The 16152-nt window shown below is 36.0% G+C and overlaps 1 protein-coding gene across 7 annotated transcripts in view, besides 1 other annotated feature; it reads left to right on the top strand.

Annotated features, from left to right (window-relative positions):
• CTNNA3 (catenin alpha 3) overlaps nt 1-16152 on the top strand; it is a 1851072-nt gene that overhangs the window by 86100 nt on the left and 1748820 nt on the right. For 3 of the 7 annotated variants that reach the window (NM_001127384.3, XM_017016151.2, NM_001291133.2), the window contains exon 1: nt 11835-11954. The exons of the other annotated variants lie outside the window; for them this stretch is intronic. The gene's annotated coding sequence lies outside the window, so the exon portion shown is untranslated. Of the gene's footprint in view, nt 1-11834; nt 11955-16152 lie in introns of those variants that run through there. 7 annotated transcript variants of the gene reach the window in all.
• Nucleotides 6223-6392: an enhancer, noted in NCBI's record as "experimental_15959 CRE fragment used in MPRA reporter constructs". NCBI's record gives its function as "activates a minimal promoter by MPRAs in K562 erythroleukemia cells, with activity observed for the introgressed 10:69430946 variant allele {active_cell/tissue: K562}" and the evidence as "EXISTENCE:reporter gene assay evidence [ECO:0000049][PMID:34662402]".

Here is a 16152-nt window from a genome sequence, read left to right as displayed (position 1 = left end):
CAGCTCCCTTTTTCCTTGTTTATAATTCATGAAGTAGATAAGGTAAAGTGGCCAGATTTAGTAAATAAAAATACAGGACACACTCTTGATTTAAATTCCAAGGAAACAGCACATATGTGTGTGTGCATGCGTGCGTGTGTAAGTATGTCCCAAATATTGCATAGGGCATACTTATGCCAAAAAATTATTCTTTGTTTATCTGAAAGTCAAAGTGGGCATTTTGTATTTTATCTGTGAACCTTAAGGTAAGGGAAAATTTTCCTCCAGTGTTTGGAAATCATTAATGAGATCCTTATCATTTTGTGTCTCAGATACTAGCGTAAAAGGGTCTTTTTCTAACTTGAGAAAGCTTGCCCTTTCTAGTCTTGTTTCAGCTGCAGGGCTGGTCAACACTGGGGAGACTGGAGGAAATTTGTAGAATCTGGGAGCCTTCAAACAGGAGAAGACTGAAAACCTGGACTCTTTCCTTTTACAATGTATCTGTTGTTAGGAAGAGTTCTTCTGACCCCTGCATCAAATTAGTACTGACTAAAATTTGCTAGTGAGAAAGAACACCAAAGACCCTTAAACTAGAACCCCCCTTGTGGCCTATGTTACCCTAGAAGTGTTTGTTTCTGGCACATGTGTAACTGACTGGAAGGCCCTCCTGACTCAGCCACTAGGCTTGGTAAATTAAAACGTTGAAGGCATGGGTTCTGTGCCATACATTTGCCGGAATGGTATGCTTGTCTTAAATCATTGTGGCCTCTCACTGGATCCACAGCAACAGCTAGAGTGCAGCAGGAGAAAGGGTCTCACTGAACTATGGGGAGTCAGCTTCCATCAGTAAACTGTGTACCAGGAACAGAGCACCAGCATCCTTCAACAAAGCCCACTTGTATTCTAATCCACTTCTCTGCCTTTCTTTCTCTGTGGCATGTGAATGAAGATGCCCCCAGAGTTTTTGAACAATTTGAGAGACAAGAGAGATACTGGATTCCCTGCCAGTCTGGCAATTGGGAAGTGGTTTTAGCTTGAAAAATTAATAGTAATGACCTCATTTTTACCCAAAACTATTGAAGTGGACCCTGCTATTACCACATATACACATATATTTTACAAATATGACATCATAACATATATCATTTTATAATTGTTCAGTTCTGTGAAAGTTTCTTTTTTCCTTTTCCAGTGGCATGACCTCAGAAGATTGTATATATTTTTCTGTGTTCTTGTGCTTTGCATTTTTGAATATACCTATACTGCTTAGATTAATAAAGATCTGTTTATAAAAGACAATCAAGTTTTGTGATTTCTTATAATTCCTGGGTCTTTCTCTTCTTTGCCAGCCTGTATCATTAATATATTTTAAAGACCAAGCTAAAAAATTAACCTGAAATAAGTAGCCATCCTTGGGTAAATATTTTTAATTTTGATTACTTAACTTGGGTGCCTCGGCCTTTAGTTTATATGATATAATCTTACATTTAGGCATATGCTAATTTAAAATATATTGGTTATTGATCCCTATGATTGCATTCTAGAGGAAAATATAGAATATATTTATGATCTTAGGATAGGACATAATTTCTTAAATAAGACTCCCAAAACATAGCCATAAAGTAAAAAACTGAAATTATTACATTAATGCAAAAATTAATTAATTAAAAGACTGAAAAAACAATAAAAAGAAACAAAAACTACCAGTTGACAGGGTATGTTTACATTCATCCATATAAAGTGGATTGCATTGTTGTTTCCCAATCCTCTTGCTCCCTATATCCATCCCCTTTGCCATGTGTCTTTGCAATTCCTCCTGCTAGAGGCAGAGTGTATTTCCCTGCTCCATTAATGTTAGACTTGGCCATATGACTTGTTTTGCCTGTCGGAATGTGGGCAGAAAAGTTAGACTTGGCCATATAACTTGCTTTGCCCATTAGAATGTGGGCAGAAAAGGCAGAGTGCCAACTTTGAGCCTTCACCTTAAGAGGTACTCAATGTTTCCATTTGCCCATCTTGTGTTTCTGTTCATGAGAAGAATATGCTCCAAGTGGCCTACTTGTCCAAGGAGGATGAGAAAAATGTGGAGCAGATCTGGATCCCAAAACTATAGCCTGGGGCAAGCTAAGCCAGGTCCATTCTGAATTAGCCAATCTTTAGCCAACCTGAAAATCCACAAGAAATAATAAATGTTTTCTTAGGCCACTGAGTTCTAAACCTCAGTGGTAGTTTTTTTTATATGGTGTTATTGTCAAAATAGTTGACTCATACATCATTTAACAAAAGTCATTTATCATAAGATTTTATTAAAAACTCCAAAAAATTAATAAGGAAAAGATAATCAAAAAACGAACAATCCAATAGGGTCAATGATATGTGAAAAGGTAATTCACAGAAAAGAAAACTAGAATGACCCATAAATAAGTCAAAAGAAACTTAGTTTTCTTCACTAGTTACTGGGTAAAGACACATTAAAACAACAATGGGATACTTTATCTACTCATTAAATTGGTAGATATTAATGTATGGCAATAACCTAGAATGTGTAAGGATATGAAGAAAATGGAACTTTCATATACAGATGTTACAATGTTCAAGGGAAGGTATCCTAGACAAAGAGGGACATATGAAGCAGGGAGAGGATATTTTCAAGGAATATTACTGACAAAAGATTATATTTACAATATATAGGGAATTCTTTGAAGTCAGTAAGGAAATGAACAGGCAACCTAGGAGAAAAACAGGTGAAGAATACAAGTAAGCAATTCATAGAAAGGATATTTGAATGGCTGACTAATCAACTAAAAAGAGATTAGCATTTACACTGGTAATCAGAAGTGCAAATCAAAACAATAGTGATGTGATATCTCCTTTGCATGTCCCATGTTGATGGGAGTTAAAATGTCATGTAATATCTTGTTTTGGTGAGGAGGTGGGGACATGTGAACCTACATTCTCTGCTGGTGGTGTTTTTTGGAGACCAATTTGACAATACTTATTGAAACTGAACACACATTCTGACCCAGAAATTCTACTTCTGAATTGTATTAGTTTGCTAGGACTGCCAGAGTAAAATACCACAGACTGGGATCTTTAAGCAAGAGAAATTTATTTTTTCACAGTTCTGGAGGCTATAAGTCCAAGATCAAGGTGTTGGCAGGTTTGGTTTCTTCTGAGGCCTCTTTCCTTGGCTTGCAGATGACCACCTTTCTCACATGGTTGCCCCTCTATGTGCACATTCCTGATGTCTTTTCTTCTCTATGTCCTAATTTCCTCTTCTTAGAAGGACACCAGTATGACTGAATTAGGGCCCATCCTAACAGCCTCATTTTAACCTAATCACCTCTTTAACGGACCTATCTCCAAATACAGTCATATCGTGAGTGAGGTACTAGGGTTTAGGACTTTAACACAGGAATTTTGAGGAGATACAATTTAGCCCATAACAGAATGTATACACCAGAGGGACTCTTGCATAGGCACACAAAGAGACATGTATGAGAATGTTTATTACAGCATTGTCTCCTACAGCAAAGAGTTGGCTATTACCGAAACGTGCTTGATTAGTGATATGGACACAAAATATATTTATAAATGCATGTGATAGAATGCTACACAATGGAAAATAAAGGAACAAACTAAATCTATTATATTAGTTAAGAACTCATTTTTATCACATAACAAGAAGTCTAGAGGTAAGAAGTTAATAACGGACGTCCGTTATTAACTTCTTACCTCTAGACTTCTTGTTATGTGATAAAAATGAGTTCTTAACTAATATAATAGATTTAGTTTGATCAAGTGGGCTTCATCCCTGGGATGCAAGGCTGGTTCAACATACGCAAATCAATAAATGTAATCCAGCATATAAACAGAACCAAAGACAAAAACCACATGATTATCTCAATAGATGCAGAAAAGGCCTTTGACAAAATTCAACAACCCTTCATGCTAAAAACTCTCAATAAATTAGGTATTGATGGGACGTATTTCAAAATAATAAGAGCTATCTATGACAAACCCACAGCCAATATCATACCGAATGGGCAAACACTGGAAGCATTCCCTTTGAAAACTGGCACAAGACAGGGATGCCCTCTCTCACCACTCCTATTCAACATAGTGTTGGAAGTTCTGGCCAGGGCAATTAGGCAGGAGAAGGAAATAAAGGGTATTCAATTAGGAAAAGAGGAAGTCAAATTGTCCCTGTTTGCAGATGACATGATTGTATATCTAGAAAACCCCATTGTCTCAGCCCAAAATCTCCTTAAGCTGATAAGCAACTTCAGCAAAGTCTCAGGATACAAAATCAATGTACAAAAATCACAAGCATTCTTATACACCAATAACAGACAAACAGAGAGCCAAATCATGAGTGAACTACCATTCACAATTGCTTCAAAGAGAATAAAATACCTGGGAATCCAACTTACAAGGGATGTGAAGGACCTCTTCAAGGAGAACTACAAACCACTGCTCAATGAAATAAAAGAGGACACAAACAAATGGAAGAACATTCCATGCTCATGGGTAGGAAGAATCAATATCGTGAAAATGGCCATACTGCCCAAGGTAATTTATAGATTCAATGCCATCCCCATCAAGCTACCAATGACTTTCTTCACAGAATTGGGAAAAACTACTTTAAAGTTCATATGGAACCAAAAAAGAGCCCGCATCGCCAAGTCAATCCTAAGCCAAAAGAACAAAGCTGGAGGCATCACACTACCTGACTTCAAACTATACTACAAGGCTACAGTAACCAAAACAGCATGATACTGGTACCAAAACAGAGATATCGACCAATGGAACAGAACAGAGCCCTCAGAAATAATGCCTCATATCTACAACCATCTGATCTTTGACAAACCTGAGAGAAACAAGCAATGGGGAAAGGATACCCTTTTTAATAAATGGTGCTGGGAAAACTGGCTAGCCCTACGTAGAAAGCTGAAACTGGATCCCTTCCTTACACCTTATACAAAAATTAATTCAAGATGGATTAAAGACTTACATGTTAGACCTAAAACCATAAAAACCCTAGAAGAAAACCTAGGCGATACCATTCAGGACATAGGCATGGGCAAGGACTTCATGTCTAAAACACCAAAAGCAATGGCAACAAAAGCCAAAATTGACAAATGGGATCTAATTAAACTCAAGAGCTTCTGCACAGCAGAAGAAACTACCATCAGAGTGAACAGGCAACCCACAAAATGGGAGAAAATTTTCGCAACCTACTCATCTGACAAAGGGCTAATACCCAGAATCTACAATGAACTCAAACAAATTTACAAGAAAAAAACAAACAACCCCACCAAAAAGTGGGCGAAGGATATGAACAGACACTTCTCAAAAGAAGACATTTATGCAGCCAAAGACACATGAAAAAATGCTCATCATCACTGGCCATCAGAGAAATGCAAATCAAAACCACAATGAGATACCATCTCACACCAGTTAGAATGGCGATCATCAAAAAGTCAGGAAACAACAGGTGCTGGAGAGGATGTGGAGAAATAGGAACAATTTTACACTGTTGGTGGGACTGTAAACTAGTTCAACCATTGTGGAAGTCAGTGTGGCGATTCCTCAGGGGTCTAGAACTACAAATACCATTTGACCCAGCCATCCCATTACTGGGTATATACCCAAAGGATTATAAATCATGCTGCTATAAAGACACATGCACACGTATGTTTATTGTGGCACTATTAACAATAGCAAAGACTTGGAACCAACCCAAATGTCCAACAACGATAGACTGGATTAAGAAAATGTGGCACATATACACCATGGAATACTATGCAGCCATAAAAAATGATGAGTTCATGTCCTTTGTAGGGACATGGATGAAACTGGAAACCATCATTCTCAGCAAACTATCGCAAGGACAAAAAACCAAACACCGCATGTTCTCACTCATAGGTGGGAATTGAACAATGAGAACACTTGGACACAGGAAGGGGAATATCACACTTCAGGGACTGTTGTGGGGTGGGGGGAGCGGGGAGGGATAGCATTAGGAGATATACCTAATGCTAAATGACGAGTTAATGGGTGCAGCACACCAACATGGCACATGTATAGACATGTAACAAACCTGCACATTGTGCACATGTACCCTAAAACTTAAAGTATAATAATAATAAAATTAAGAAAAAAGAAGTTAATAACGGATGTCATCAAGGGCCCAAGTTCTTTCTATAGTTCTGCTCTGTCATCCTTCCTCTTCAGCTTTGCAGTAAGATTGTTTTATTTCCAGGCACCTTACCACAGTCAGGTTAAGGAAGACATGGCAAGGATGCTGATGTCCTTTTGATAGGGAAAGCAAAAGCTTTACCGTCTCATTGGCCAGAATTCTTTCACATGCCATTCTGAGTTGCAAAGAAGGCTGGGAAATCAAATGTCCTGCCTCCATAGCAGAGAAAGATAAGGGAGAATAAGGTTGGGACTATGTGCTGAGTGAGCAAACATGCAATGTTTACCACATCTTTATAGTCCAACATAGATAGACCAAAAAACAAACAAACAAACAAAAAAACAAAACCACACAATGAAACAGACACAGAGAGATAGAAGTAGAAAGAGATGGGAAATACAATATTATTTGTGTAAATTTAAACATCCATACACATAAAGTTATATATTCTTGTAGACGTATATAGCATATGTAAAAAAAGTTACGGAAGTTTAATTGGAAATGTACCCATTAACTACCATAAGAAGCAGAGAGGGGAATGGAACTGAGAACAGGGAATATAGACTATGAAAACAAAAAATAAAACAGGCTTTTCATAGACTAGTCCACCAGTTAGGACCATGATTGATTGTGTCAGTCTAATTCTGTGCACCCAAGACCCAGGGGGATAAAAGTGGATTGGCTTGGGATGTGTGTGTGTGGGTTACTCAGACTGTTTGATTTGGCAGGGTTATCATTTGAAGTAAAAGAAGTGTGATTCATTGGCTCTATGACTGAATTTAATTATTTTACCTTTCTCTGTGATAAGCTTCATTCTTTTGAATACAATTGATGACCTAATAGGAATGATGTTATAGTTTTAATTTAGTGACTATAGCAGTTATATTTTGGAAAATTTAGGGATATTACAAGTTTTGCAAAATTGATTTTGTTTTTGTACATATATTTCTTTTGTTCTATTATGCAAAATCAGTAGAACTAGACTTAGAGAGTCAATGAAAGACATGAGTAAAATAGACATGGCTGCTTAGTAGTGAAATCCATCACTCTCTAGTTTTCTGTTATTATCTTTGGAAACAGAGAGTGTGGGAGAAAAGGATTTCCTTCCTCTCTTTCTAATATAGCCTCAGTGACTGAGTGGCTCTCTGCTCTGGAATGAAGCAGGTTGGCACAACTCCACAAGTCTTATGTGGGAACAAGACACAGAGGTTTCTATTTTTTCTTAGTGTCATTTGTTTGTGTTTAGTTCGGTATTCTATCTTTAACCATTCTATACCCACTCTTCCAAAAAATACTCAGTTTATTAATATGTGTTAGTGTCCCTTTAATTTATTAAGCATGTTGCAACTTTGGAAGAAGCTCTAAACATATTTCCATTTCAGTACCAGGTTTTCTTGCTATCCAATTATAAATTATTAACGTGGATGGAGTAGAAGACTTCCATTGATGGCATGGATTCAATTTGCTAAATAAAGCTGTGTGGACATAATCATTCTCTATCCATTTAAAAATCAAAGGGGCAATCTGTTTGATGTGTTTCACAGCAGCCCTCTAAAATTCAATGGCATTTTGGTTTTGAAAAGCAGAATTTCACAAAGAGAAAAGTATCTTTCCACAAAATAACAATAATTGATAAATGAATTATTTGGCATGGTAATTAGCATTCCATTATATTCTATGTGTAATTTTATAAGTAATTACTCTTCATAGAAGTTTTATAGGTCTCATTTCACATCAGGAAAACAGGGTAAATTGGGGTCATTGTGGATGAGGCCAAAGAGGGTAAAGTGAGTTTGAATTTGAACCCAGTTTGTTTTGCATTTCTTACTATTCTTATTATGACATTTCTTCTCATCATATTCTTCACTGTACTTGTTTTGTAATGTGGCTGCCTCATTCCTTCTATAGTTAATCTTGGGAGAGCTCATCTACTCTTATGGATTAGAGTGTAACATGGATGGACAGGTTACTATATCTGTATCTCTAGGCATAATTTTTCTCCAAAGTTCATGGATTCTGCATTTCCAGTTGCTCATGGGACATAACTATTTGCATATGCCACTGCACCTCAAACTTAGCATACCTAACCTATGTCAGAGTCCGAGCTTGCACTATACCTGTCAATTGGTGTGAATATTACCTGCTAAGAGCCCACTGCTGTAATTTAGGGGAATAATAAGTTGTTTTGAAGATAAATGAAATACAATAGGCCCTTTGGGAGGCCGAGGCGGGCAGATCACAAGGTCAGGAGTTCGAGACTAGCCTGGCCAACATAGTGAAACCCCATCTCTACTAAAAATACAAAAAATTAGCCGGGCATGGTGGCGAGTGCCTGTAATCCCAGCTGCTCGGGAGGCTGAGGTAGGAGATTCACTTGAACCGGGGAGGCGGAGGTTGCAGTAAGCCGAGATCACGCCATTGCACTCCAGCCCGGGTGACAGTGTGAGACTCCGTCTCAAAAAAAAAAAAAAAAAAAAAAAAGAAACACAGTAGGCCCCTTATCTGTGGTTGCATTTTCTGTGGTTTTAGATACTCAAGGTCAACCCTGGTCTGAAAATATGAAATGGAAATTCCAGAAATAACCAATCCACAAGTTTTAAGTGTGTGCCATTCTGAGTAGCACAATGAGATCTTGTGTTATCCTGTTATGTCTCAATCAGGACACGAATCATCTTTTTGTCCAGCATGTCCTGCTGTATATGCTGCCTGCCCATTAGTCACTCCTAGAGGCCATCTAGATTTTCAAATGGACTGTCGTGGCCTAGCCCCAAAGCGCAAGAGTTCTGATGCAAGCATATTGTTATAATTGCTCTATTTTATAATTATTATTGTTAATTTCTTGCCTAACTTATAAATTAAACTTTATCATAGTTTGCAGGTATAGGAAAAACATATATAGGGTTCAGAACTATCTGTGGTTTCAGGAATTCACTATGGGTCTTGGAACACATACCTTGTCTATAAGGGGGGACTATTGCCTATATAAAATATATTGAAAATTCAGATACAGCATATAGTGTATGGAGGCATTTTTGCTAAAAGTAAAAAGGAGTATTTTAAGTAAGTAGTATCTATTCACTGCTTATTCAATCTCTCCCTACCCCTAAGCGTTATCCTTAATTTTTTTTAATCTACAAATAGAATTGAGGCTAATAAGGCCTTTAGATGTAGGTTCTTAAGGCACCTGCGAAAACCAAAAACCATTGAGTGAGACATAGTTCAGGAGAGCCTGTGTCAGGTACCAAACTCAGAGCTGAAAAGTAAAGTAGAATTAAGTGGGTAACTAGAAACAACAACAATAACAAAATTATTTATATACATATTCCAAAATGTGTGGATGATTGGCAAAAAGGATAAGCAAATTACTGGCAAAACTGACTTTTCAGTTTTATTCTGAATAGTGGGTTATCCTATAAGTTAATTTGAGAAAAAAGCCCAGGTATCTATTTTATATTACAGCGAATGTATCTGTTTAGAAAATTGAAGATATAAAATTTCATAAAAGAATATAATTAAGAGGTATCCTATTTTATTTCCAAATGTAAAATATGATATTTACCTGGCTATTGTTAGTTATTACATGAGGAAAGAAACTGCCACATTTGAGTATGAGAGACGATCTTATAGAGCAGTTTCTTTCAATGAAGAACCCAATGCTTGTTTTTATTATTAGAAATAGAATTCCCCTTTAAAGGAAAATAACCTATAATTTTTTATTTTGAATGACAATTGAGGAAGAGAATTAACATTTATTTTCTCTTTGGAAAATTTAGTACTTTAGCATAGAGGATGTGCCATTAGTGGCAAATCTGAGAGCAGGAAAAAGAGATTGCTCTTTGAAATTGCTTTTTCACTTTTGCCATAGTTAACTTAGTTAACTTGATGTTTGTGATATAATTGCATCAAAGAAACAGAAAATTTTTTATCTTCAGCCAAGATAAATTTGTGGAAGTTAATGATTTTAGCTAATTAGATAGTAAAATTTTTATTTTTAGAATAAATCAGGCAAATTGCTGTCCATGTCTTTCCACACTAAGTGAGTGTTAAGTTGTGAAATAAAGAACCTATAAATTGTAAGGGAACTTTGTTAGTCATAATACCGCATGTTTATGAGAAATATATTAATGCTGTAATAACAGGAAGTATATCTTTAAAATTAGTCTGTGGCTTCTAATATATAATGAAAATTTAGCAAATATTAAACAGGGAGTTAAAGAGGTTACAAATGTCATATAATTTTGAAGAGAGATTTTATCCTGTAATTTAGTTCTGTTTTCTTCAGGATTTGTTTTCGATTTTCTAATGGAGCTTAGAATCTTTATGTAAGATTGTTGTTCATTTGTTTGTCCCAGAAAAATTTAGGATTGTGGGAAGTCTTTCTGATGATTGAACCCAATTCTGCTTCTTCTTGGTAATTCTGCCACTTCTTGGTCTTCTAGTGCTTTTTTTCAGAGGATGCAGCTGTTGGAGCAGATAGAGGAGGAAATAATGGTAGTGTGATACAGATGAGAAGCATTAATCTGGGCTCTAAAAGTCAAATTTATATGGGCAAAATAAAATGGGATATTTCTAAGCACATTTACTAAGGAAAGTTGAGATGATGTGTCCCAGTTCCTAGCTGAAGTATAAAAATACATGTCATTGGGTGCAATATGTGGGCTTTCAGAATCTAATAATACCCTCTGCTGGCTAAATGAGGAATTGTGTTTAAAAATGAGTGACTTGGCTTTTTTGTTTGTTTGTTTTTAAAATATGGATGATTGCTCTATTATAAAAGGATTGAGCAGTGCAGAGTATTGTGAAATAATATAGGAAAAAATTGTAAATGTGAAGAATGAAGCCAATATGTTACTAAAATGTTTTCTAAAGTGAAATTAATGTAGAAATATCTATAAGTAGAATTTCTGAATCTTTTGGTCTATATTTTAATCATGAAGTAGGTCATAGGGAAGGAATGCAGTAGGGGGAAAATACGTGAATCTCTGGCCCCTATCCTCAATAACAATTCAGATTAATTCAAGATATTTAAATTACCTTCATTAGTTATTCCTAAATTACTGTTGTAAGAGCTATTGACAAATATATGAAGGTGAGATAAGAACTGCTTTTCTCACCCCACCACTGGACACTACCTGGGTAACGGGATCAATTATACCCTAAATGTCAGCATCATGTAGTATACCCATATAACAAACCTGTACAAGTACTTCCTGAATCTAAAATAAAAGTTGATATTATAAGGAAAAGAAAGAATGGCTTTTCTGTGGATAGCCTGATTTAATTTCTGTTAAAAATAACAGGCATATTCTTAAGTAACCTGAAAGCTTGATCGCTTCAGGGAAGTATCATATAACATGCCTGTTTTATATTTTTTCTTTCTACTTTTACAAATTCTCAAAAATTCTACTTTGGGATTTACAGTGTTTTGGGTACATAATGACCATGCAAGTTGTATTTAGAAGTTGATAGTGGGTAATGTATTATTATTTCATTGTAAATCTGAAAAATAGAATTTCAGGTCTGATTCTGCTGTTTGATGTTACCCTTCACTGGCATGTTGCTTTAAGAGCACCCATCCCCCCTTCTTGCTTGGGCCACTGTGTCCTGTCAGTCATCCTGAAATACACTAGGGTGCTTGTCAGGCTGTTTGCTTACAGATGCATCATAAGCCAAATTGTGAGCCATGATAGTGGCACTGAATTTCTAAATACAAGAAATTGCTTAGACAATTGGTTTAGTATCTGTATATGGGCAATACTCTGTCCTGCAGTAGGTGAGTGGAGTGTCAAACTTTTAAAAATCAAACTTTGCTATAAGGCAAATCCTAGTAATTATAGATTATCTGTTGCTCGGTTAGATAACTTTGGGGGAAATGAAAGGACATTATTTCTATAAAATGGGATGAATAGAAACTATTATGTTGTGCAATTTTTACTTTTATAACTAATTTTCGTTTTAGTAACACTAAACTCTAGACTATTTTATGAAAGCTCCAATTTTAAATGTCTACTTTTCCGAGTATATTAGCAGGCATTTCAGATTTAGATAAAAATGTGGTTCTCTTACACATTTTTTCTTTCACAACTCAGGCAGATTCAATTGAGCAGAGGCTCGAGTCTGCTGTTTATTAGTGGTTTTAAAAATAGCACTAAAACAGATTCTCATGTGCCAATACCCAAGCTATAGTAGTCTTACATCAGCTCATTTAAAAACTCCTACTCTGTAACTGAGCTATTACTATAATGATTGAGTAACTGTATGCAAGGCACTAGAAACTTTACATACTTTAGACACAAAAATTGTACAGCGAGTAGGTTATTTGTGCAAATAATTTAATTGCTTTTAATTAAAAGTTATGGGCTTTTAAACTTAAATTGTGCATGGATTTTTCCCTGTAGTTTTTGTGCGCAGACTTAAATATTTTTAAACAGAGAATTGGTAAAGCAAAAAAGGAGAAACTCATGATTTTTGATACTTGTGTATTCAATACGGTAGAGCATAGCTAAGAGGCAGCAAGAAGTTAAAGTTGTAAGGCTTTATCTAAGGTAAATGAGAAAAGATTGCTTTTTCAGATACCTAGAATGACTCTTTATTTATTCCTTGTCTTGTTCTAGAAAGGATTTAAGGTGACTTATAAGGCTACATGAAATTCAAGATAGGATAAATTAAATGTGGAGTGAAAGAAGAAAGAAAACAAGTGTGGGATATAAAACAGAGCCAGGAGTAAGAAAAAAAACAATAAAATAAATGCAGCAATTCTCAATGATAACTCTGGTGTATTATGGATAGATGAGAGAGAAAATATAGGGTTTCAGAAATCTTATGGTGGAGTTTCATACAAACCAGTTGCCTTCTCTTACCTTGGTGGCAGTCTGGAATGAGGAGAGTATATTAGATTATAAATATTAAATATGCTTTAAATGTCACTCGTGTTTTGGTGAAAAATAGTGAAGAAATGCTGCCCTTTTAACCCACACACTAACTTATGTGAAAGTAAATGTGGCCCCAAATGTTCAGAAAAAAATTTGGTTAGTTCAGAAGAGAGATTAAAGAAGCTTAGTTTTTTGGAAACACCAGAGTGATCTAAATAAGATAAAATATCTACATAATAGAACAGACATGATCAAGACAATGTTTAAAATAAAATATATTTAGCAATTTTGTATAAATGTATGAATACTAGTCCTACAATTTTAAAAAATAAATTGTTGTAAATGGGATTAGCTACTTTCCTTCTTTTCACACTTTTAATCTAGCAGTAAATTTAACTTGAATTTCAACTTCAGTAAGGTCAAAATTAACTGGATTGATCTAACTTGTAAAAAAAGTTGTTGGGTAGAAAGAAGGAAACCAGAGACAGGACTTTATAATGTACTTTCATCTTCACATACTCGCAGGACACCTACTATGTTGAAGATTCTGGACTCTGGGCCTTGTACTCACTAAACTGGGCTTGTCTAAGTGAACTAGCTTAGAAACTCGCTGCTGTCAGAGAGCAGAATTGAAAAAAGACAAGAGGGTAGTAGTTAAAATTTGCGAAGGATTTTCAGTGTTGTCTTCTGATATTAACATGATGAGCCAGGGACAGTCATTTGGCTCTTTTTTATTCGTTGTTAAAAGTAAGGTCAATAAGAAATGATTCACCAGGGCTGTGGTTGTGAAGAAGACCGAGACCCGCGATGGGAAGCTGGTGTCCGAGTCCTCTGACGTCCTGCCCAAGTCAACAGCTGCGGCAGCCCCTCCCAGCCTGCCCCTCCTGCGGCTGCCCCAGATCCTGGGAGGGAGGCCGTTGTGCAGAGGAGCACAGGGAAGAGGAGACCCACCTGAGGCTCAGCCCTAGCCCCTCAGCCCACCCACGGGAGAGTTTACTGACTGGGGACCGCACTTGCCCATGCCTCCAGCTACAAAACAATTCAATTGCTTTTTTTTTTGGTCCAAAATAAAACCTCAGCTAGCTTTAACACACACACACACACACAAAGAAAAATAAAAAGAAATTTTTTTTTAAAGCAGTACAAAAACAAATACTGAAAGCTCTTGTTTTTGTAGTTTTGTAAACACATAGATAGGTTGACTTAGAGTTCTTGCCAGAAAAATTATAAATCAAATATATAACACATAACTGATCAGATGCACAGGATGATATTGAGAATAACCTGAACACACAGGTGTGAAGCCTGGGAATGAATACTATTAAGAAGTTAGGTAGGGTTTAGGCACCAAATACTGTAAATTGACAGATGTACAAGAAGGGCCAAGACACTTCGAAAAAGTGAATCAACTTTTGAAAGTATTAATTCAGAGAACTTAAGGAAGAGCTCCTGGAGCCAAAGGATATCAGTGGAAACTTGTAATTATATAGTGAATGAAATAATGTAGAAATATTTCTGTGCCACTGGGATAAGAGATGAACACAAAAGATGTTTTTAAAAGTCAAATTTACCGAGAAATAACTTATATATACCATATTAAATTCACTCCTTTAAAGTTTACAGTTTGATGAGTTCTGACAACCATATACAGTTATAGAACCATCACCGCCACAATCAAATAGAATATCCCCAACATGCTAAAAAGTTTCTTTGTGCCCTTCTGCAGTCAACTGATTACATCAACTGTTGGCATCTGGCAACTACCAATCTGTTTTTTGTCCCTGTATTTTTGTCCTTTCAAAAATGTTATATAAATGGAATCATATAGTGTGTACTTATTTATGTCTGATTCTCACTCAGCAAAACGCTTTTGATATTCGTTCATGTCATTGCATGTATACTTGGTTCATTCTTTCTTCTTGCATAACATGTGATGGTATTCTTGTGCCACAGATTGTTTATCCATTCACTTGTAGATGAAAATTTGAGTTGTTTCTAGTTTCTGACTACAGTAGTCCCCTCTTATCCATGGTTTCACTTTTAGCAGTTTCAGCTACCCATGGTTCAAAAATATGACACAAAATAAGATATTTTGCGAGAGAGAATGAGTGAGCACATTCACATAACTTTTATTGCAATATATTGCTAAAATCATTCTATTTTATTATGTTATTGTTGTTAATCTCTTACTGTGCCTAATTTATAAACTTTATTATATGTGTGTTGAATAGGAAAAAGCATAGTATATATAGGGTTTGGTACTATCCCAGGTTTCAAGTATCCACTGGGGGTCTTGGAACATATCCCCCAAGGATTGGGGGGATGACTGTCTTATGAGTAAGGCCACCATGAATGTTTGCATACAGGTATCTATATGGACATAAGTGTTTATTTCTCTTGGCTAAATACCTAAGGAGTGGAATTGCTGAGCTATAGAGTGGGTATATGTTTAACTTTATAAGACACTTCCAAGCTTTTCTCTAAAGTGGCTGTACCAGTTTACGTTTTTGCTAGCAATGTGTGAGATTTCCAGTTGTTTCTCATCTTTGCTAGCTCCAGTATTTATAATCTTTCAAATTTTAGCCATTCTAGCATGTGTGGAGGAGTACATATTTTGGCTTTAATTTGCATTTCTCTAGTGACTAATGATGTTGAACATTTTTCATGTGCTTATTTGCCATGTATATATTTTCTTTGGTAAGATGTCTTTTCAATTTTTTTTTTGCCCATTTAAAGAGTTGAGTTGTTTTTCATTTAATTATTGAGTTCTAAGGGTTCTTTTTATTTCCTGGATACAAGACCTTTGTCATATGTAGATTTTCAAAATACTTTGTCCCCGTCTATGGTTTGTATTTTCACGAAGTTTGAATTTTCATGAAGTCCAGTTTATCAACTTTTTCGTTTATGGATCATGCTTTTGGTGTTGCATCTAAGAAGACTTTGCCAAGGTTACAATGATTTTTTTCCTATGTTTTCTTCTAGAAGTTTAATAGCTTTAGGTCCTACCTTTAGCTCTGTGATCCATTTCAAGTAAGTTTTTGTATGTGATGTGAAGAAAGGGCCAACATTCCCTCCCTGCCTCCCTTCCTCCCTGCCTAA

Source organism: Homo sapiens, chromosome 10, assembly GCF_000001405.40.
Source record: "Homo sapiens chromosome 10, GRCh38.p14 Primary Assembly".
NCBI lineage: Eukaryota > Metazoa > Chordata > Mammalia > Primates > Hominidae > Homo > Homo sapiens.
The sequence above is the reverse complement of the archived record's forward strand: the minus strand, read 5'-3'. Positions and strand labels throughout refer to the sequence as shown.